The sequence below is a fragment of the Homo sapiens genome, chromosome 6 (assembly GCF_000001405.40).
Source record: "Homo sapiens chromosome 6, GRCh38.p14 Primary Assembly".
Taxonomy (NCBI): domain Eukaryota; kingdom Metazoa; phylum Chordata; class Mammalia; order Primates; family Hominidae; genus Homo; species Homo sapiens.
Genome location: NC_000006.12, coordinates 159610905 through 159635362, shown reverse-complemented (window position 1 = coordinate 159635362; position 24458 = coordinate 159610905). Strand labels below are relative to the sequence as shown.

The following is a 24458-nucleotide window of genomic DNA, read 5'->3' as shown; positions in this document are numbered from 1 at the left end:
TATTGTTGGCCTTAATTCTATTTGACTAAATTAATACTATTAAATTGGCCTTATTTTCAAATTTTTATGCCCAGTTTTTGAATAAAAAGCCTAGATATTCTATAAAAAACCTCTGGGAGTTTCTGTCTTTTAACTAGTGAGTCAAAATATATTTATGTTTACTATAATTACTATGCATTTGGACTTCTTTCTATCATTTTATTTTGTGTCAACTATGTTTTTCTTTGGTTCTTATTCTTTCTTTCTTTCTTTTTTTTTTTTTTTTTTTGAGATTGCATTTTGCTCTGTCACCCATGCTGAAAGGTAGTGGCGTGAACACAGCTCACTGCAGCCTCAACCTTCTGGGCTCAAGTGATCCTCCCGCCTCAGCCTCCTGAGTAGCTGGGACCACAGGCAAGCACCACCATGCCCAGCTAATTTTTTTTTATCTTTTGTAGAGACAGAGTTTCGCCGTGTTGCCCAGGCTGGTCTTGAACTCCTGGGCTCAAGCAATCCTCCTGCCTTAGCCTCTCAAAGTACTGAGATTCATGAGCCACCATGCTGGCCAAGTTCTTATTTTTTCTTTACTGCATTCTATTGAACTAAAAGAGCTTTTTCTTTTTTTCTCTCTCTTTCTCTTTCCTTTCTTTTTATAAAAAGTTTCCCTTATTCTTCTGTGGATTTAGAAATTATTAATATAAGTTCTATTTCTATTCACATATATATAATTTTTATTTTTCTAACAAAGTCTAAGGTTAATAAATATCTTTATCCTACTCATGAACAGCGACCTTAGAATGCTGTAACTTCCCTTTGAATCCACTTATCATCTTCCATGTTGTTATCTATTATTTTAGTTCCACATTTGTTTGTAATCTCAAAAGGAGTTGTTATTTTTATATTTGAGATAGGTGTTTATTTAGAGTTTCCAAGTTTTCTGTTGTTTGTTTTAAGCTCATTGCTTCATGCACTCTTCTCCCTTCTGGGCTAAATTTTCTTCTTGCTGAAGTAGTAACAGTAATTCCCCACCCTGGGCCAGGCCCACTTCAGGAGCTTGCACTCCTTGGCTCTTTCATCCTCAGTTTCTGCCTTTGGGTGGCCTGCCCCAGGGTGTTTCTCCATCTGCCTCTGCTTCCTCCCTTACAGGCCAGCTGGAGATTTCCTCCAACCTGCCCACTCTGTAAGGTTCCTTCTTTTCTCTTTCTTCTAGCACTTTCTCTTTCTTGCTTCTGAGCTTGGGTATATACTAGTGAATAACTAACTTTACCCAGATTTCTATGCATTTGAAGAAGAAAGAATGCGGATGAGGGATCTCAACTGGAAGTCCAAACATTATCCTCAGAGAGTGTGGGCTAAGCGATCCGTCATTTTATGGCATTGTAATAGCTGGTGAAACTTCAGTGAAAGAGCTCAATTTTCTGTGACTTTTTTTTTTTTTTTTTTGAGACAGAGTCGGCCGGGGTGCAGTGGTGTCATCTCAGCTTACTGCAACCTCCGCCTCCTGGATCCAAGCGATTCTTCTGCCTCAGCCTCCTGAGTAGCTGGGATTACAGGCGCGCACTACCACACCCAGCTAATTTTCATATATTTAGCAGAGATGAGGTTTCACCATGTTGGCCAGGCTGGTCTCGAACTCCTGACCTCAAGTGATCCGCCCACCTCGGCCTCCCAAAGTGCTGGGATTACAGGTGTGAGCCACCATGCCCAGTTGTTCTTTCTTCTTTATTTGAATATGTGAGCTCAATTATAGTGGAAGTGAATTGAGAGTATTATGGCATATAAAACTGGAACCAACGAGTCTCAAATCACTTCATATCGTTTTCCTGGAATGGTTTTTAGGGTAAGCACAATATTTAATCAGTTGATATCAGTTCTGGTCCTTATCACTTGTAAATGAGTGTGATTGTTCAGTTTAATAACAAGTGCTCATGAACCCCATTACTAAAAATATGAGATATAGCTCCTAGAATACAATCGTACCCCAGTGCCACCTAGAGGAAAGAATTTGCATCGAGAGGCTGGGCATGTCTGTTTCTGTACATCCTGGCCACTGAGGTACCGCTTTTGCCTTTTGTATTTCTTTTGTAAAATGAGGCCATCCACAAGACTAGTGTGTCATAGAAATAATTACATAAAATTTCTTATAACTGAAGTCACTAACTAGTAATAATTTTAAGGAAGGCATGCTAATACTTTTAATTAAAAGACTGTAATTTAGGCTAAAGAAAAACCTACTGACTAAAAGTGAACATTACTTTTAATTTACAACACAGAAAGCTGTTGAAAAATAAAAATAACTGGCCATCTTAGGGCTCAAGCCAGCTCTGATGCCAGAATTTTTCCTATTCTATTCTTGAGATATTGGCTGAAAGCTACCTGCTGTGTCTTCCTAATCTTAGAATTCCCCTTCCTGGTAAGTGTGTTGTCTGTCTTATTATACTTACTATGAGAAACGGACATTTGCGCCATTTAGAGAGACTGACAATAAGAATAATATCATTTACTGAGCACTGGCTTTGAACCAGGAGAATGCACACAAAGTGATAATAACTCTCAGCACAGCAGCTGGGATTGAAATCCTGAAGGTCTTGCCTCCTAGTCCATTTTTTTTTTAAGACGGAATCTTGCTGTGTTACCAGGCTGCAGTGCAGTGGTGTGGTTTTGGCTCACTGCAACCTCCACCTCCTGGGTTCAAGTGATTCTTCTGCCTCAGCCTCCCAAGTAGCTGGGATTACAGGCACGTGCCACCATGCCTGGCTAATTTTTGTATTTTTAGTAGAGATGGGGTTTCACCATGTTGGACAGGCTGGTCTTGAACTCCTGACCTTGTGATTTGCCTGCCTTGGCCTCCCAAAGTGCTGGGATTACAGGTGTGAGCCACCGCGCCTGGCCCTAGTCCATTATTTTTTATATCAGCGTTTTTTAATTTATAAAAAACAGAAAGTTAAGAAGTTACTTAGGTCAAGCACGCAGGCAGGAGGTAGGGATACAAAGATGACTGCTAAAATGTGTTTGCCTTTACGAGGTTGTTCTCTAGCTGGGGGCTAACATCCCCAATCCTGATGTGATGTGATGTGATCAGAGGGAGGACGGGAGAATTGTGCTGAGTGCTGTGGAAATGTAAGAGAGGAAGGGATTAATTTTAGGGTGGAGAAGGATGGAAAGAAATTTGGTGACAGCTTCACAGAGGAGCAGACATTTGCACTGGTCCTCGAGCGATGACTGCATTCATGATATGGAAAAAGTGACTTCTGGATAAACTTAGTGGATGCACCTCTCCTTTCTCTGGAATTCCCATTCAAACAACCACATAGCGATTTTGAAAAGCTTTAAATTGCAAATGAGAAAGCAGGAGTAGAGAGGAAGCTGAGATATTCTGGAAGCCAGAAAACCTCTGGATGAGTGCAAAGTGACCTAGCAGAGCAGATATAGCAGCGGGGAAGGAAGCCCAGGCGAAAGCTGCCCATGCAGCAGGGCCTGGAGAGGCTCAGGACCCAGAGACCCAGGATCCTCTGAAGACGCAGGTGGGGCTGAAGCTGGGGGACTGGTTGAAAGTCTGCAGAAGTAAGTGGGTCCCTTGGTCCAGTGTGGTCAGATAGTTATCCCTTCCTTCTCCTGGCAGAAGACTGTGGTTCTCTGTGAAGAGACTGGACCACAAGAACTCTGGACTCAGGGACGCCAGACACAGTTAAGGTGAGAGATCTGCTAATGGTGAGATCCCCTAAACCCTTCCCCACTCATTGTTTAGGACGATGTCAACCAGACTCCTAGGTCACCAGCGGGATACTGGAGGAGTTCTCTCTGGGGAGACTGAGCAGCCCAAGTGAAAGGCCTACAGATACTGACAACAGTGTATGTCCAGTAAAACGGTACACTTATTCTCCCTGCAGTGAAAACCTCTGTCCACATGTCCTGTCCAAGCACGTAGTAATTCCAACCACTTTGTCTGAGATTTACTCTTAAACGTGAGTGAGGAGGCAAAGATCACAAGACTTCGGGGAAAGTTTTGAACATTAGAGACAGATCAGTAAGAAACAAATGGCAAAGACATGAACAAACAGAAAAAAAGAATTTGGAGGAAATAGAGACGCTATACAAAGGAGCAGAAAACTCTTCCTCCCACCCCCACCCCACCCACAAGCCCCAACAACTTGCAATCTTGAAAAGACTAAAGAAGGCACAGGCAGGAGTTTTTGCAGTGGGTATTCCTTTTCAAACTAAAAACAGAGCTTTTCTAGGAAAGATGCCTTTGTCCTTCCCCATTGTGTTTTTCCTGGGATGTGGACACAATGCCTGGAGATACAGCAGCCACCTTGTGACCATGCCAATGAATGTCACAAGCCAAGAATGGCATCATAGAAAGGTGAAAGGAGCTTGGCTTCTGAAGGCCCTGTTGGGATTCATGCCTGGGTTTCTTTTTGTGTGTGACAAATACACTCTTTACTTGTTTAAGTCACTGTAGAAGGGTTTCTGTTACTTGCAAATGAACATAATCCTAATTCATTTAACAAACATATTGTTTAGAAATATGGAGAAGACACAATTAAGAGTTGAAAGTAGCTAAGACTTGGGGGTGGGAAAATGGGGCAGGGGACTGCTGTTTTTCTTTTTCTTTTTCTTTTTCTTTTGACTAGTCTTGCTCTGTTGCCCAGGCTGGAGTGTGCACTGGTGCAATCACAGTGAGCTGAGGCTCACTGTGACCTCTGCCTCCTGGCTTCAAGCAGTTCTCATGTCTCAGCCTCCTGAGTAGTTGGGATTACAGGTTCCCACCACCACGCCTGGATAATTTTTGTAATTTTTTAGTAGACATGGGGTTTCACCATGTTGGCCAGGCTGGTCTTAAACTCCTGACCTCAAGCAATGTGCCCGGCTCGGCCTCCTGAAGTGCTGGGATTACAGGCGTGAGCCACCGCACCTGACCTGTCTTTCTCTCTTTTTCTTTTCTTTTCTTTTCTTTTCTTTTCTTTTCTTTTCTTTTCTCTTTTTCTTTCTTTCTCTTTCTTTCTTTCTCTCTCTCTCTCTCTCTCTCTCTTTCTTTCTTTCTTTCTTTCTTTCACCAAGTCTCACTCTGTCACTCAGGCTGGAGTACAGTGCAGTGATCTCAGCTCACTGCAATCTCCGCCTCCCGGATTTCAGTGATTCACCTGCCTCAGCCTCCCAAGTAGCTGGGATTACAGGTGTGCGCCACCATGCTCGGCTAATTTTTGTATTTTTTGTAGAGATGGGGTTTCACCATGTTGACCAGGCTGGTCTCGAACTCCTGACCTCGGGTGATCTGCCTGTCTCGGCCTCTCAAAGTGCTGGGATTACAGCACTATTCATCAAATAGTGCTGTATTCACCAAAGACAAGGAATCAACTTAGGTGCCCATCACCAGTGGACTGGATAAAGAAAATTTGGTACATATACACCATGGAATATTATGCAGCCGTAAAAAGAATGAAACCATGTTCTTTGCAGCAATATGGATACAGCTGAAGGCCATTATCCTAAGTGAATTAATGCAGGAACAGAAAACCAAATATAGCATGTTCTGACTTATAAGTAGGACCTAAACCTTGGGTACTCATGGATATAAAGGTGGCAACAATAGACACTGGGGACCACTAGAGTGGGGAGATGGAGCGGAGGGCAAGAGCTGAAAAACTGACTATTGAGTACCATGCTCACAACTTGAGTAACAGGATCAGTTGTACCCCAAACCTCAGCATCACTCAATATACCCAGGTAACAAACCTGCACATATACCCCCGAATCTAAAATAAAAGCTGAAATTATTTAAAAAAAAAAAAAAAAAGAAGGAAGGAAGCTGGAGGCAGGTCATGAAAAGTGCACTTTGCCAAGCTATAGAATTGGGACAGAAAAAATATCCTAAATGTTAATGAGTTAGCTCAGTGGCCTGGAAAGCTAATCAGAGTCATTTCCCTACAAGGGAGCTACCCATCCATTCTCCTGGAAGAGCAGAGCTACAACCAATCCAATTTAATCAGTCAATCAGAAAAAGATGTCTGGTTCCATTTTGACTGGTAATGATTTTTTTTTTAATTTTTATTTTTTGAGATGGAGGTTGGCTCTGTTGCCCAGGCTGGAGTGCAGTGGCCTGATCTTGGCTCACTGTAAGCTCCGCCTCCCGGGTTTATGCCATTATCCTGCCTCAGCCTCCCAGGTAGCTGGGACTACAGGCACCCGCCACCACGCCTGGCTAATTTTTTTTTTTTTTTTTTTTTCTATTTTTAGTAGAGACAGGGTTTCACCGTGTTAGCCAGGATGGTCTCGATCTCTTGACCTCATGGTCTGCCCGCCTCGGCCTCCCAAAGTGCTGGGATTACAGGCATGAGCCACTGTGCCTGGCCTAATGATTATTTTGAACTGACCTATTTCTTCTGTTTCAGAAAAGAGATACATAGGAATTTGATAAATTAACACAGACAAAAACATTACGCAATTTTACTAAGTTTGAGTGCCAAGGAACAAACACAATAGACCTGTATGGGATTTACACTGGGCAACTTACTTGACTTCTCTGTGCTTCAGTTTCTTCATCTGTAAATTGTTATAACACCACGTACTTCACAAGGCTGTTGGGGAATCTGATGAGCTAATAAATGTAAAGTGCTCAAAACAGTGCCTGGAAGACAGTAAATACTATTTAAGAGTTTACTATTATTATTGGGTATTGCCTGGATGTCAAGTAGTAGTAAATATACCTGAAAAAAATCTATTGAGGATCCAAATAATATGGCAAATGACAATATTTTACTGTGTGGATGAGGATTGAAAAACATATTACCTATCTGGAAAAATAGGAGACAACATCTGAAAGCAATCAAAGGAGAATTAATAAAGAAAAATTGGGTAAATCATCTGTGAACAATAGCCTCATAAATGTGCCCTTATGAAAACCTGGCTTTGAGTAGAAGGTTCACAGAGAGAAAGGGGGAAAGAGTGAGTGAGAAAGTGGGGAGTAGAATAGTCTATTATGGATAAATCTTTTGGGGCAAATATTATGGATAAGTCTCATGGATAAATCTTAGGGTCTTATGGAGCATGAGTGAATGATATGATCTGCATCCTATAAAAAGCAAAAGCCTCATTTGGACATGGTCACAGACCCAGGCTCAATAGCAGAACATGCTTCATTATTCCATTTCCTTTGGCTCTTGCTGGTCCCCAGTTGAAAAGTCTATTCACTCTTCCTTCTTGTTACGTTTCCAAAATTCACATGTTGGAAAAAGTTGAGAGGGGTGTAGCAATCTTGACCTGGTATGTGGAAGAAAAGAGGAATATGGAAAATTTGTGATAAAAAACTAGCTTGATGCTGACTTGACCCCATGTGGCTAACATTTGGAAGAGAGAGACATTGATTATTCTAATTAGCCATGAACAGTGGGATAAGAAACTGCAATGTAATATGCCTGCGGGAGGAATCATATTGACCACTAGGAATATCTTACCACAAGAACGTATCTGTCAGTGGGACCTGTGGCCAACGGAGGCTAGGAATAGTGCTAGGAGTCTTATGGGGTCAGAGACACACTGGCTTCAGTGTAAACATGAACTCAAAGTTGAGAGAATACTGTGATCACTTAAGTCCAGGTCAGGACAGTCTGTCCTCCCTCTTTCTCTGAGTATAAATTTCCTTTACTGATCTCAAAGCGAAGGACTCCTGGAAGATCATGATAATTTTGTAGATGATTAAAAGCAAACTCAGGCGCATCTCATTCCAGGCACCCCTATGGCTGCTCAATGCTGATTGGTAGTGATAATTCTATTCCCCAAGGTTTTCCTAAGCCTGCAACGGAAAGCTCTTTTGTTTTTGTCTGTATTCACTCCATCTCATGAGGAAACCATTGAAGGGTCACTTCTACTGCCATCACTCCATGAGATCTAAGAAAGCAGGGAGGAAACAGGAAAAGTGGTGTAGGGCTGGAAACAAAACTACTGTAGGCCTGTGGAAGGGGTTTGTCAGACTGGTCAGTGCTGTCCTGCAGTCAGGTCAAATGTCACATTCTCAAATGTCACCTTCTCAGAAATGTCTTTCCTGACCTTTCTTTTTAAAAGTAAGCTTTTCCAGTCAGGTGTGGTGGCTCACGCCTGTAATCCAGCACTTTGGGAGGCTGAGGCGGGTGGATCACCTGACATCAGAAGTTCAAGACCAGCCTGGCCAGCATGGCAAACCTGTCTCTACTAAAAATACAAAAAATTGCTGGGTGTGGTGGTGGGCATCTGTAATCCCAGCTACTTGGGAGGATGCGGCAGGAGAATGGCTTGAACTCAGGAGGTGGAGGTTGCAGTGAGCCAAGATCGTGCCATTGCACTGCAGCCTGGGAAACAGAGCAAGACTCCGTCTCAAAAAAAATTAAATAAAAATAAATAAATAAATAGACTCTTCCATGCCCAGAGGTAATACCTTAATCAGGCACCTCTTCAATGATTTATTTGCCACCTAGTCATCATCTGCCTCCCTGAGTGCAAGCTCCAAGAGCCAAGTGACATGTTCCTCAACATCTAGGATGGTGCCTTGCGTTTAAGAACTGTTTTTTGTTTGTTTGTTTGTTTGTTTTTTCAGGCTGGGTGCAGTGGCTTATGCCTGTAATCTCAGCACTTTGGGAGGCTGAGGCAGGTGGACTGCTTGAGTCCAGGAGTTTGAGACCAGCCTGGGTAACATGGCGAAACCCCGTCTCTACAACTAGCCAGGCATGGTGGTGTGCACCTGTAGTCTCAGCTACTTGGGGGTGCTGCGGCAGAAGGATGGCTTCAGCCCAGGAGGTCAAAGCTGTGGTGAGCCGAGATTGTGTCACTGCACTCCAAACTGGGTGACAGAGCAAGACCCTGTCTCAAAAAATAAGAATAAAAAATTTTAAAAAATAAAAATAATGTATGTATATAGGACTACTATTTAGGGATTTTCTAGTTTGGCAGGTTAAGATGTCTAGGAAAGCCTGCTTTTTTCTTTTCTTTTCTTTTTTTTGAGACGGAGTCTCACTTTGTCTCCCAGGCTGGAGTGCAGTGGCATGATCTCAGCTCACTGCAACCTCTGCCTCCCGGGTTCAAATGATTCTCCTGCCTCAGCCTCCCGAGTAGCTGGGATTACAGGCACGTGCCACCACGCTCAGCTAATTTTTGTATTTTTAGTAGAGACGGGGTTTTACCATGTTGGCCAGGATGGTCTCAATCTCCTGACCTCATGATCCACCCATCTCGGCCTCCCAAAGTGCTGGGATTACAGGCGTAAGCCACTGTGCCCGGCCAGCCTGCATATTTTCTTTGACTAAAGATATGCATACAAGAGCAAGAGCTGAGAGGATTAAAAAAAAAACTGATGAGAACAAAAGGCTAAAGTTAAAGATTAAAGCTTTCTCTCTGCAGCCTGTAGATTCATGGGGTGATCCTGTGTACTGACATCCCTTTGTCAGTCCTGGCTTACACCTGCCGTCCTGGAATCATTCTTGATAGCATCTTTTTTACAACTTCAGAAATTTCCTGGGTTGGGTGATAAATTATATGCTCATGATATCTGTAAGCACCTGTCCTGTGCCTTTCATAGTCACAGTGTCTATTGAGATGACGATGAAATATGTGCAAGATGGTGGAGGACGTTATTGTAATTTTGGAGTTCACAAACGATGTAAGAAACCCTCAAATATTTCTTGACTCTCATAATATGCTTCTTCTAAGATTCCGCCAGCCAGATGGTCTCTGTGATTCTTCTTGTTCATTACCCAAGGACGTTTGGAGCCATTGTTTCAGAGGGGCAATGGATCTGCCCCATTTACATGATCTGAAGACAGCTGTGTCTCAGTACCTCCCCAGGATTTTCATAAAGATGTCAATTTTATTCAAGGCCCTGTTCTCTTTAGGTCTCAAGAAAGTCTGTTCTTGAGAGCTCTTTGGAGGACAATTAGAGAGAGGGGCTGTATTCATAACTGCACCTTCCTTTAAATCTAAGGAGTTTTTCTTTCGCCAAGCTCTGAACACTGATTTCCTTCTCCTTAAGGATAAGTCTTTCTCCAGGAGGCTTGTGAGTCCCTGAAGAGTGCTGAAGCCACACTGAGATATGTCAGAATCCTTGGGTCAATAGACAGCCCCATAAAGTCTGATAATATAGGCAATCATCCAATGTATTTGATCCCTTTAAAGTGGTCAATTAATGCCAGTGTTTTTTTTTTTGGACAGAATCTTGTTCTGTCACCCAGGCTGGAGTGCAATGGCACCATATCAACTCACTGCAACCTCTGCCTCCTGGGTTCAAGCAATTCTTGTGCCTCAGCTTCCCTAGTAGCTGAGATTACAGTAATGCGCCACCATACCCGGTTAATTTTGTATTTTTTAAAGTAGGGATGAGGTTTCACCATGTTGGCCAGGCTGGTCTCAAACTCCTGGCCTCAAGTGATCCTAATGCCTGTTTTTAAATGTCTGGAGAAAGTCATTTGAAATGATTTTAACAGGAATGTACAGCACCCATTATGCCAGAGTGGTGAGATGATTAATTTCCCAAACTGGTGAATGATGTGGCCAACTGGAGAGGGTGCCATGCTTGCTAGATCTGAAGGCCCTTGATTACTTCTATAATGAGATAAAAGCACAGGCTTTTAAAATTTTAGTTAATTTAATTTTAATTTAACTTTTTGTTTTGAGGCAGGGTCTCACTTTATTATCTGGGCAGGAGTGCAGTGGCACAATCGTGGCTCAAGTGATCTTCCCACCTCAGCCTCCTGAGTAGCTCAGACTATAGGCATGTGCCACTGTGCCTGGCTAATTAAAAATATATATATTTTGTAGACACAGAGTTTCATCATGTTTCTCAGGCTGATCTCAAACTCCCAGGCTCAAGTGATTCTCCTGCCTTGGCCTCCCGAAGTGCTGCGATTACAGATGTGAGCCACTGTGCCCAGCACAGTTTTCGTCATAAAAATCAGACAGAAATCATCTGAGGCAGTGCATCACCGATGCAGGTACAGGTGGAAATGCAGCCTTAGCACTGTGTGCACTGTGATGGATTGCATATCACGGTGACAGGAAACAAAGTGAACATAATATGTGACGTTATTTCACACTTCGTGTATTATAATGTAACATCAATACATCATTTCTTATGTTAATTTGTCTGTGTTTCCAGACTATGGCCATCACACGTCCCAAGGTGTGAGGTGCTCTGATTTTCCCACTTTCCATAGTCTTTATCACTGTATTAGTCCATTTTGCTTTGCTATAAAGGAACACCTGCGATTGGGTAATTTATAAACAAAAGAGGTTTATTTGGCTCATGGTTCTGCAGGATGCACAAGAAGCACAGGTCCAGCATCTGCTTCTGGTGAGGGCTCAAGAGGCTCACAATCATGGCGGAAGGCAAAGGGGGAAGCCCGGCATATCCATGGTGAGAGAAGGAGCAAGAGAGAGGGGAGGAGGGGCTAGGCTCTTTTAAACTACCAGCTCTCGTGTGAACTCATCAAGAAGGGGATGACACCTTGCCATTCATGAAGAATCTGCCCCCATGACCCACACACCTCCCACCAGGCCCCACCTCTAACATTGGGGATTATGTTTCAACATGATATTTGGAAGAGGCAAATATCCAAACTGTATCAATCACCATCATTTTAAATGTCTTCCTGGTACTCAACTGGGGTGGTGAACCATAATTTAACTATTCTTCAATTTTTTTGTGTTCAAGCTCTTTCATTTTTTTCTATTTTAAATATTGTAAAAAGCTGGAATATTTCTTTCATATTTTAAATCAGTTAAGATAAATACCACAATGAGGAAGAAGATTTGGGAGCATCTGAAGAGCCAGAGGAGTTAGAGGCTCTGAAGCACAGTGACTTGATGTCTAAGCTGTTTCTTTGTTCATCCCCCTGGTTGGCTTAAATCTAAGCTGTCTCTTTGCTTGTATGATCATAGTCTCCTGTCATCGGTTTATAAGATTCTCCAAATTCAGAATGCGCAGTTGCAAATTCCTCATGGTAGGCTGGTGAAGGACTTGACAATCTGATGATAAATTACTTTGTGAACATTGAATGAAAAATATTGCATCATATATTGGTGAGGAGAAAGTGGAGTAAAGAAAAATCTCCATCTATACACAATACAGCTTTTTAAATGCAGCGGACTTTCAAATATTTGCATTTCTACATTATACGTTTTGTTTCAACTTACGCATTTATTGTTTTCTTTCCTTTTTCTTCCTCACATGTTAATGGCCCATGTGAGAAAAACATTCCCCTGGGTAAATAGATAGAAGAGATTTGTGCAAATGCAAGAGAAATTTCAGTGTATCTGCTATGATTTGAATGTGTCCCCCAACGTTCATGTGTTGCAAATTTGATTCCCAATGCAGTGGTGTTGGGAAGTGAGGCCTAATGGAAGGTGTTTGGGTCATGGGGGCACCGCCTTCATAAATGGATTAATGCCATTATTGTGGGAATGGGTTCCTTATAAAAAGATGAGTTCAGTCCCCTCTTGCTCTCCTCTCACCCTCTCTTTGCCCTTTTACCATAGGCTGACACAGCAAGAAGGCTCTTGCCAGATGCTGGTACCTTGATATTGGATTTCCCATGCTCCAGAACTAAAAAGAATGAATTTCTTTTCTTTTTAAATTACCCAGTCTGTGGTAAATTTATAGTAGCACAAAACAGATTAAGACAATATGTCTTTCAGATGTCTTAGCTTATTTCATTGGATAACTGTAAGAAGAGTTTACTGCTTTTCTTTTTTTGAAATTAAGAATTTAGCTGAATGCTGTTGCTCACACCTGTAATTCCCGCACTTTGGGAGGCGGAGGCGGGCTGATCACCTGAGGTCAGGAGTTTGAGACCAGCCTGGCCAACGTGGTGAAACTCTGCCTCTACTAAAAATACAAAAAAAAAAAAAAAAAAATTAGCTGGGCATGGTGGCACACTCCTGTAATCCCAGCTACTTGGGAGGCTGAGGCAGGAGAATCACTTGAACCTGGGAGGCGGAGGTTGCAGTGAGCCGAGATCGTGCCATTGCACTCCGGCCTGGGCAACAAGAATGAAACTCTGTCTCAAAAAATAATAATAATAATAATTAAAACAGGAGACTTTTGATGGAAGGCTTATTTTCAAAAAAGCTATTTTCTTTTAGAAAAAAAGAATTTTCCTTTTTGATGCTTGAGATAAATGTGATGGAGTTTAGGAACAGTTTATTAGACAGTTGGTTGGTATTTTCTTCTGGATGATTTGCTTACAGATACTTGTGCATGTACACTGCTTAAAGCTCTCCGATATGGTAGACTTTTCACTTTCCTATGGGATATGTGACATTTTAGGATGATGGCCAGATGCAGTGGCTCATGCCTGTAATCCCAGCACTTTGGGAGGCCAAGGCAGAAGGATCATTTGAGGTCAGGAGTTTGAGACTAGCCTGGGCAAAGTAGCAAGGCCTCCTTTTTACCAAAAAACAAACAAAAGCCTGGCATGGTGGCACATGCCTGTAGTCCCAGCTACTTAGGGGGCTGAGGTGGGACCCTGTCTCAAAAAAAGTTTAAAAAATTATTTAAAAAGAGATTTTATAATTTCCAATTGCTGAGATTTTCCACTTTTGTAGGAAGTGTTGGAAAATGCTGTGAATGGTCTTGAAGAATTTTGAAATAGAGTAGCCAGACAGAAGTAAGGTTAGAGCTAGCATTTATTGGGTGCCTATTTTGTGTCAGACACAGAGCCATTTGCTGCACAGCTGATAACCCATTTCATTCTCACAACAACCTTAAGAGGTGGGTACCATTATTTTTCCACTTTTACTCAGCTTCGGTAGGATTATGGACAAAGAAACTTGCTTTTCTAGTTAAATACTTAATACACTGTGTTGTACTGGAGCCGGTGAGGCTATGATCAACTTTCAGGAGCTGACTGCTCTGTTGAGAACTTCTCTGTGAGCAAAAGCTGCTGTGTTTTAACAAAAGAACAAAATCATTGTCAAGTAGAAAGGCAATTAATCCTGAGTTTTGCAATTTATAAAGTCCAGTAAAAAGTAAACCCCAAAGCAGTAATGTGTTTCAAATATGAATATGTAACAGCTGTGCTCTTATTTCTTTGCTGAGTATAATTCTATTATTCTAAACATTTTCCTCTGTGTTTAGAACAAACCCTACTTTTATTTTAATGTTCTGGCCATGCCACCCAGCTGCCTATTCTGAGTTTAGATCCAATTCTCTCTCTCTCTCTCTCTCTCTGTCTCTCTCTCTCTCTCTCCCCCAAAAGCCTTGTATAGACAGGACTAAAGTTTTAAAATAGCAAATTGCTAAATTCTTAATCCTCCTCCAACATCTGTTTATGCTTTTGGAATATATGCATATTTTAATGATTTTTAAAAGAAGTCTCCCCACTCCTATCTAAAAAAATCCCTCACAACCCGATACTCTCACTCTCTCTTTCTTTTCTTTATTTTCCTTTCTCTTTTCTCTCTCTCTCCTTTTTTCCCTCCCTCCCTCTCTCCCTCCATCCATCCCTTCTTTTCTTTTTTTGTTTTTTAGGGTGTTTCAAGGGAAAATAATCCCTTAATGTCTGTGCTAGAAGTTTGAGAGGTGGGTGGATATATTTATGTTCCCTTCTGATCCCTGAGTCACTGAGTTTTTTTGTTTTTGTTTGTTTGTTTTGTAAAGCTAGCACCCGTGAGCATGGTTGCTCTGTCAAAACTAAACTAGCCTTCACAATTTAAAATATCAGCTAACTAACCAACCAACCAACCAACTCATCCCCCCAAAATGAAAAATGATCCGAAAAACTTGAATCTAACAAAAAACCTGTCCAGGTAACTCAGGTCCTCACTTTGGATCAAATCCAGATGACCCTCTTGCCTAATTCCTCCTGCTGTAAATAGAGGGTACGTCTCTGAAAAAAAAAAAGCCAAATGAAAATTTATATATGAGTAATTCTTGAGAAATTCGTATCCTTTAAATGCTCATTATCTTTTCCAGCTCTTTATTATTATAAAATTCTTTTTCTTATAAGGTTCACCTTAGAAATAGCATTAGAAAGGGAGCAAGAGTTTGGGAGGTGATTGCTTTCCTGCCTACCTGTTCTTTCAGAAAGTATCTAGTAGTGACTGGTGGGGCATTATGCTGTAGGTGCTCGAGGGTCCTGGCTGGAATCTGTGAAAGCTGGAGATGCGTGCCTACAAATTTATCACCAAACAGGATGGGCCCCATAGAAGCCTTTATGGTGGGGGTCGGGGTGGGGATCCTGGGAGGCAGAGATGCCAGAATTTTATGTAGGAGGGGCCTAAGGATGGCAACCAAGCTAGAAGGCGTAGCTGGAGGTGTGTCTGACAGTTGCCTGTGTGTAGGGCTTCCTACAAGATTCAGATGTTACTTCTTTTACTGATCAAAGAATGCAGAAGAGGGCAGCTGCTGATGGCTGTGGGTGAGGTTGGGGGACAGAAGCCAATGCCTTCAGTCTTTTGTGGAGTCCCCACCAAAGAGGTGCCTCCTGGGATGGAATCTGAACCTTGACCCCACTGGAGCCTGGGTATGTTGGCAAACTGACGATGGGAGATGCGAGGCCAGCATGTTTGCCTGAGTCTGGGAGAATGCTCACCTTCCGCAGGAGGGGAAGCAGGATTGCGCGTCTCCAACACTGGAGGGGAGAGCTGCTTCCGGGCATCAACCAATGTGCAGGGGAGGATTGGGCGTTTTATGGCACGTGTGAGAGACCCCGAGGGGACCCCAGGAAATATGAAGCCTGGGAGTGAGGGGGAGGTCTGTGTGGGTGGGCAAGGCTGGGGGCCGGTTGAGGGGGTTGGTGGGATTTGGAGGTGCGGAGTGGAGGTGGGTCTCGTGTTGGGAAGTGTAGGCCAGCCCCAGTGCGGCTTGGAATTCTTACAATCGATGTGATCTTGTTGGCACCCATAGACGGGCGAAGCTTTGAGGAGCCTCTAGTTGTACCCACACTCTAGATAAGCCTGCCCACTGCACGCCTTGTCAGTGTGTCTAGATGCGCTTCTCAGTCCTGCCAGGTGACTGGCCCTGCCTCTTGTGCTGCTGCAGACACAAGCGCGCGGCTTCTGATTCGATGGGCTTTCCATCAGTTTCCACAATACCCGCCAAGTCTGATTTCCTTCCTAGCTTTATAAAGATTCCTTCACGCCCTCCCCCCATCCCAACTCCTATACTCCGCCCAGGCAACTGCCCTGGCCTTTTTGGGCTGTGAGGGGGCATGCCACTCAACATTGCACACGTGCTATTTCAGTCACATGCCACAGGCAGTTCTCCTTTATCAGAGGGAGCCAGCCCCTAACAACATTGTCAAGCATAGATCCTCGTGGACAAAACTTTGCAGATGACATATTTACTAAAGGTTAGCCCTGCTTATCTTTTTTTTTTTTTTTTTTTTTTTTGAGACAGAATCTTGCTCTGTCACCCAGGCTGGAGTGCAATGGCAGGATCTCGGCTCACTGCAACCTCCGCCTCCTGGGTTTAAGCAATTTTCCTGCCTCAGCCTCCCGAATAGCTGGGACTACAGATGCGTACCACCACGCCTGGCTAATTTTTGTATTTTTAGTAGAGATAAGGGTCCGCCATGTTGGCCAGGCTGGTCTTGAACTCCTGACCTCGTGATCCACCAGCCTTGGTCTCCCAAAGTGCAGGGATTACAGATGTGAGCCACCACGCCTGGCCAACTCTGCTTATCTTTAAATATGATTGGATAAATCAAAGTCAGTTTGCCAAAATGTCTTAAGTTTTCAATTTCAGTCAATGCAGTAAATGTTTTGGGGAGTCTGCAGTGTATCGGGCACTGGCTCAAGCACTATCATTTTACCAATGCCCTTTGGACACTAGTTATTCTTGCAAAAGGTATAGAGTTCTTTTTAAGTATTTACCATTACTGATACTTCCATAATATAATGTCTTTTTTCATTATATCTTAATTTTTTTGCTGGTATCTGGGAAAATTGTTTAAATGTTTTTCTTACCACTTCATTGAAAAATTTTGTTAATTCTAACTTTAAAATCTCAATTTCTGCCCTTTGTGGCATAATACTGTCATTTGCGAATTTTTCTCTTTATTTGCAATATCTATATCTCTGAATAAAATTTCTAAGCACTTTGTAACTCAGTGGAGACTTTTAATTCAAATTATAAAAAGTGCCAAAAATTTACTTTATTTCCATTAGAACTAATATGATACATTTGGGTATGTGGATGCATAATATGTAATGATGAAGTGTGTTCTTTGTAGATGGCTGCAGCAGTTTAACAGAATTCAATTTTATTTCTTACCAGAGAAGCATATATTCCAGCATGTAAGTTATTTTTGGAAGTTATATTTATAGAACAACTGTACCAGAAAGGGGGTTTAATAAATATTTCACTGAAAGTTTGATTAAGTGTCATATATGAACTTTTGTAGTCTTTGCCTTTTAATCCTCAAGTTGCATATTTGTTAAATATGTTGGATTCTTGGGCATCTGGTCCATGTAACAGGCTGGTTCCTGGGAGAAGAGTGGGACAAGGACTGGATCCTGGAAAAGAAAATAGGAGTCTGTGGTGTAGGTCTTTTTGGGAAGAGATGGCGGTTCATAGACATGATATCCACCGGAGCTGGGGCCCTGGCCTCAGACATAGACAACAGGATGAAAAGTCTATGATGAATACTTTGAACATGAGGACTTGTTTGTAACACAAGACATTTTTAGATCTCTTTATAGGTGTGCCAGTTACCTATTTATGGCCTCTCAGCTCTAACCCCACCCTTCATTGCCTGCTCTATGATAATGGAGCTGGGCCTTGTGAGTATCTCCCCTTTGCAGCTGGCATATTGTTAAACTCTGTTAGCAGAGGGCACTAGATGGACAGTAAAGAAGAATGGGCATCACTTCCAGGTTCCAGTGTTCTGGTTTTGTCTGTTTGTTTCTTTTAAATCCTACTGTGGCAGCCTGTGGCATGAATGGAGGACATCCAGTGGAGCCCACCTTCATTGAGTTTCAGGGGCCTCCGCACAGGCAGATTCTCAGTGAGTCTAGCAGGCACCTTAGTGGTCAGCTTCTCAGCCTTGAGCCTCCTTCATCCTAGCAGGGTGTTTCCTGTGCCAGTCCCAGCTGCAGCTCCTTGCCCATAGCTTGGACCACCAGCAGCCAATGGGAGGCTTCTAGCCTGCCAGTCCCAGCTCATGTTACTCTGTCTGCCACCCTCTGCCTAGCTCTGGTGGACTGGCTCTGGCTCAGGAAAACTCAGTGAGTTTCTCCACCATCCTGTGGGCTGCAAGCACACCTCTTCCAGTGAGATCTGAATCCCAGCCTTGGAGAGGTGGGTCCTCACCTTTTTAGCTTTGATTTTTTCTTTGAGGACTCTCCTTCATCCCTTGGGGATTCTTTAAAGTTCTCCTTACCCCTATGACTGACAAAAATTCATATATGACACTCAATCAAATTTTCAGTGAAATATTTATTAAACCCCATCTTTGTCCTTATGTTCTATTTATCTCTAGGATGTAGTTAATCCTCTGTTATAATTAGCATTTCTTTATATTAAAGTTTCCCTGTTAAAACTCTTGTGTGGTTTCTTTTGTTTCCGAATTAGACCCCAACTGATATAAGATGATAGTACATAATTGATAGACATGTCGAGTTTGTTCCCATATGTAATTTATTTCCTTCTCATTTGAAGCCTAGAGTAGGGAGAGTTCAGGAGACTGGCAGGAGCTCAGAGCTCTGTGGTGCTGGCCCTAACAGGTGCATGCCCTTAGAAGCTGCCAGCTGCACCCAATGGGGCTGGACTCCAGCCATCTGCTACCCAGACTCACTGAAGAGTTCCGCATCTGATGAAACCTCTGGGGAGAATGAATGAGAACTGATGAGGGAACACTAGCACTGCATCTGAGTAAGGGGAACTTGGGAGAAAACAATTTTCCTGCCTGTCCAGAGGGATGGGAACTCAGAATTGGAATTAAGCTGAGTTAAAGAAAGTAAATATGACATTTCCAGTGCATCTGCTTTGTAGTAGTTATACTTTTTATGTTGAATCACTCAGAAAAAAATGTAAAGATAAAAACAGACTAATTTTAGTAATGCCTTACATAACCTTATATTTTATGACTTACAAAGTGTTTACATACATTTGAAAACAGTGGTACATATAGCACTTTATTTACTTGTTTTGTCTATAGGCATGGGGATTTTCTGCTGGAAGGTAGTAACTCCACAGCCCCACTGGGATCAGAGGCTCACAGCTCTGACAGCTTGAAGAGATTGCTGTAATTATAAGAATGGAAATAGTACTGATTATCAAGAGCTCGTTAGTGCATAGTACGGAGATGATATCATCTTTTGAAAAGTCTTAAGAGGCTGCAATCTGGCTTTCATTTGCAAATTTCTGTTCCCACCCTTAGTTTTTCTTTGTTCATATTTTGAGAGGATAAACAAGCACTTTTTTTTGCATTGAAATATGAACTATTCCCAAGAGAAGATGCTCCTCTAGGGGAAATGCACTGGCCCTACCTGGGCCGATGGAGAATGACATTGAATGAGAAGTTGGCTGCTGCCATCAGTGGAGATGATGCCAGAAGAACGAAAAGACCTGGACCTTGCTTCTATCCACCCAGCTACCCATCCTCCTTCCTCATTCTTATTTCCCCAATATTTTTCCCCCTCTGGAAATAGGGGAGGCCTCTGATGTGCCCTCAGTCATACTTCTCTATTTCTCTAGTCTTCTTATTTTAAAATTAGTATACTAATATTTATAAAGCTGTCATGAATACTTATAATTAATATCAAATTTATTAATCAATAAACATGATATAATTAATTATATTAATTTATAAATAATAACTTATAAACATGCTAATATACATAAAGACATAATGAATGTATGTTTTTTATTTGTATAAATTTAAGGGGTATAAGTGTAGTTTTGTTTCATGGATATATTGTATAGTGTTGAAGTCTGGGCTTTTAGTAAAACCATCACCTGTGTTATGTACATTGTATGCATTAAGAAATTTGTCATCCTTCACCTCTTCCTACCCTTCTGAGTCTCCAATGTCAATTATTTCACACTCTATGTCCATGTGTTCACATTATTTAGCTCCCACTTATAAGTGAGAGCATGCGATATTTGACTTTCTGTTTGAGTTATTTCACTTAAGATAACAGCCTCTAGTTCCATCTATGTTGCTGCAAAAGACACAATTTTATTCTTTTTTATGGCTGACTAGTATTTCATGGTGTATATATACCACATTTTCCTCATCCAATCATCTGTTGATGGATATTTAGGTTGATTCTACATCTTTACTGCTGTGAATAGTGCTGTGTTAAACATATGAGTGCAGGTATCTTTTTGATAAAATGATTACTTTTCCTTTGGATAGTGATATGGTTTGGCTGTGTCCCCACCCAAATCTCATCTTGAATTGTAGCTCCCATTATTCCCACATGTTGTGGGAGGGACCTGGTGGGAGGTAATTGAATCATGGGGGTGAGTCTCTGCTGTGCTGTTCTTGTGATAGTGAATAAGTCTCATGAGATCTGATGGTTTTATAAAGGGGAGTTTCCCTGCACAAGTTCTCTCTTGTCTGCCACCATGTAAGATGTGCCTTTCACCTTCCACCATGATTGTGAGGCCTCCCCAGCCAAGTAGAACTGTGAGTCCATTAGACCTCTTTTTCTTTATAAGTTATCCAGTCTTGGGTATGTCTTTAGCAGCAGTGTGAGAACAGATTAATACAGATAGATACCCAGTAGTGGGGTTGCTGGATCAAATGGTAGTTTTATTTTTAGTTATGTATTTAATTATATTTATAAATTATCATAGATATTTATAAAGATATGTGAAGGAATATTTAACATTTTGTGACATTCAACACACATGCTTATTTGCTTTCATAGCTCTATTCTAGCACTAATCCACAGAATGGAAATATCAATAGAAAAAAGCAATTAACAACGTTAGCTGTGGAAGCATTTCATTTAGTAAAATCAAGAAATAAAATATATTTTCCTAACTTTGATGTGATAAAATGGCAATCCTTTCATTTCTTTAATTTTATTTCCTGTGCTCTATTTTCCCTTCGACCATCCACAACACTTTGTGAAACAGTGTCTGTGTGCTGGGGGCCTGGGGCCCGTGAGAAACAGCCTGTCTTGCTACTTTTCCATCTCCGTTTCCTTTTTGCCTTATGAGCCAACTGCTAGGCTGAACAGTTGGAGAAGGAACTTCATTATGGTATTGGAAAGACTTTCTTGACAAAATTCATTTTCAGACCCAGGAAGAAAGGATCTAGGACGTCCTTTCTGTGACTTATAGGGCAATGAGGCCTTTTGACAGCTCTTCTGGGTCCAGTGGAACAAGTGAGTGCATGGATGTCTGGAAATTTTACATCAACTCCTATCCTCATTCTAGAGTCTCTGGCTTCCCCACTGGGGCATGATGATTAAATATATGATCACTGAGTGAAAGACAAAAGGAAGGAAAACAAATGATTTCATAAAATGGGAGAATAAAGACAAGATGGAATATTTACACTTCGATAATTTTCCCCCTTGAACTTTCACCAAAACAAGTTTCCTTAGTGCCTATGTGTTGATAATTCTATGTAATGACTTAAGAAAGTACATGACTAGCCTCTAGCTAAATGCAGATATCTGCACTATGCTCCCTGTAGTAGGGGCTGGGATATTTGTGCCTACTCCTGCATGGAGAAACTATACTCACAGAGGGTGGATTTAGCAGGACTCAAGGATGTCATCTTTCCACACTCATCCTTTACGATAAGAAGAACATGAACAACCTTAAACACAGGTAGAAATTGGTGATTGGCTGTGGTTTGGGAAAGGGGCCTCCAGAGGCCTTCCGTTTGTCCATAGCCTCTGCCTTCCAGCCGCTGTCACCCAGGCAGTGGGGGTCCATGGAGCCTCCATCCTTTGGTTTGTCCTGTGCTCTTCTGTATCAGTGCTTCTCTCAGCCCACCCTGTGTGCATGTTATTGTTGCTTTGTGTGTGGTGAGTGTCTGCTAAAGTCAAACAGAAATGTTTACAGAATTAAGTGGGGTTGGGTCACATAGAAAATATTGAAGAGAAACTTATACATTGGCAAAAAGGAAAATAAAGTGAGAAATATTGATTCTGTTGGAAAGAAATCGTATAGGATCTTCTGCGTTGTGGCATAGTTTTAGAAACTGGCTCCTAAGCCCAAGTCCTGATGGTGTTTCTGAGCAGCTCAGGGCATTTTCCCAATGTAGTGGATGTAGTTTGGCTCCATGTCCCCACCCAAATATCATGTCGAGTTGTGACCGTTAGTGTTGGAGGTGGGACCTGGTGGGAGGTTATTGGATCATGGGGATGGTTTCTAATGGCTTAGCACCATCCTCCTAGACTTGCTTGTTTAGAAGTGTATAGCACCCACCCCCCATCTCCTGGCCATGTGAAGGCCATGCCTGCTTCCTCTTCACCTTCAGCCTTATTTGTAAGTTTCCTGAAGCCTCCCCATCCATGCTTCCTGTACAGCCTGTGGAACTGTGAGTCAGTTAAACCTCTTTTCTTTATAAACTACCCAGTCTCAGGTAGCTCTTTATAACAATGTGAGAAGGGACGAATACATTATCCAACACCTGTCCCCAGTTCCGCTACCTGTGGGAAGAAGCAGTGGTGAAGCTCAGCACTCAGGGTGAGTGAGTGGTGAGGCACGCGATGTATATGTCTGCCCTGCTGCTGGGGCGCCCATCTTTTTTTGTCTTCTGGCTTTCCGTATTACCCACTGGGACACTGGGCTTTTGGTGGAAGTGCAATCAGAACTTTCTAAACAGTCCAGATTTTAAATATTCAGCATAAATATTCCCCAAGACACAGGAAAATGTGTTAGACCAAGGGTTCTAGTTTTGGACTTGAGAAACAGTTACAGAACACGTAGGGCTGGGTGTGGTGGCTCACGCCTCTAATCCCAGCACTTAGGGAGGCTGAGGTGGGCGGATCACAAGGTCAGGAGATCGATACCATCCTGGCCTACGTGGTGAAACCCCATCTCTACTAAAAATACAAAAATTAGCCAGATGCGGTGGCATGTGCCTGTAGTCCCAGCTACTCGGGAGGCTGAGGCAGGAGAATTGATGAACCTGGAAGGTGGAGGTTGCAGTGAGCCAAGATTGTGCCAGTGCACTCCAGCCTGGGTGACAGAGCAAGACTCTGTCTCAAAACAAAACAAAACAAAAAAACAAATAAACCACATAGTGGCATCCCATTGGCCCGAAATGACGCATCCCTTGGGATTCGGAGCTCAGCTTTCTGCTTCGCCTTATTAAGGAGCTAGAGCTGAAGAACGGCTTGTTGGGGCAACTTACAGGAGGATTCACATTTTTAACAGATTAGTCGGGTTCTCAACTCAGAAGTAACCTAGTGTTTTCATGTTTTCAGTGGTGGGCCAGGTGATCAGAAATCCAAATGTGTGTGCATTTGTTGCCATTCCCTTTGTTAGAATGATGAATTGAGGGACTTTGAGTATTAGATGTGACTTAAACATGAGTCAGATACGTAGAAACTTTGTTCATGTTATTTTCTGTATGTCAGTAATCTTTCTTAAATTTCATATTTGTAGCTTGGTGTTAAACATGAAAATCTCAAAAAATATATAATTAATTGAAGCTATAGTGGAAATTTGACACTGTGAGCCTGGTAGCAGTCTCTCAATAGAAGCAGCCTTACACGTCAATCTGGACTTCCATGACTAAATTCAGGAAAGAAATAGCTCTAAGAGTGAGGGATGGTTATAGTAGGTCTTGCATGCTGTTTAAAAACAATAAAGGCCAGGCACAGTGGCTCACACCTGTAATCCCAGCACTTTGGGAGGCCGAGGGAGGTGGATCACGAGGTCAGGAGATCGATACCATCCTGGCCTACGTGGTGAAACCCCGTCTCTACTAAAAAATACAAAAAATTAGCTGAGTGCGGTGGCACATGCCTGTAATCCCAGCTACTCAGGAGGCTAAGGCAAGAGAATAGCTTGAACCCAGGAGGCGGAGGTTGCAGTGAGCCGAGATCATGCCACTGCACTCCAGCCTGGGGGACAGAGTGAGACTGTGTCTCAAAAACAACAACAGTTTTTGTGGGAGTGTATTCAGGTGTCCAAATATTATCTGTACCTAAGCAGTGGTTTTTGAATGTTTCGTTCATGGATTTTTTTCTTTAAACGAAACATTACTCTAAAGGCTAATATTAAATCAGATGAAGACAGAGCTGCTTTAGTTGAGGCCTGGGTTGGGGGCTGAGCCCTCATTCTTGGCTTTTCCTCCTTGAGGCAGCCCACGAACACTTCTGCAGAACTGCCAGGCCTCTTGAGGAGTGGCTGGAATGCCATCTGTTTGTGGGAGACCAGAACATGCAGCCCAGAACATGAAGGTTTGTTGAACTAAAGACAAGAGAAAGCAGATGCAGGAGAGCTCTCTGCCCCACCTCGATTTGCCTAAAGTGGGACATAGGTTTGCAAAGACAAAAGGTGTCCTGCCGCGCTTCTACCAGAGAGAGTGAAGGTTAAC

General features: G+C 42.4%; 1 long non-coding RNA gene across 1 annotated transcript; it reads left to right on the top strand.

The window, feature by feature from the left end:
* Positions 1–1640: 1640 nt before the first annotated feature.
* On the top strand, positions 1641–18482 carry LOC124901450 (uncharacterized). The gene is made up of 2 exons (XR_007059840.1): positions 1641–3848; positions 15327–18482. It is a non-coding gene; the product is annotated as an uncharacterized LOC124901450 (long non-coding RNA).
* Positions 18483–24458: the final 5976 nt, after the last annotated feature.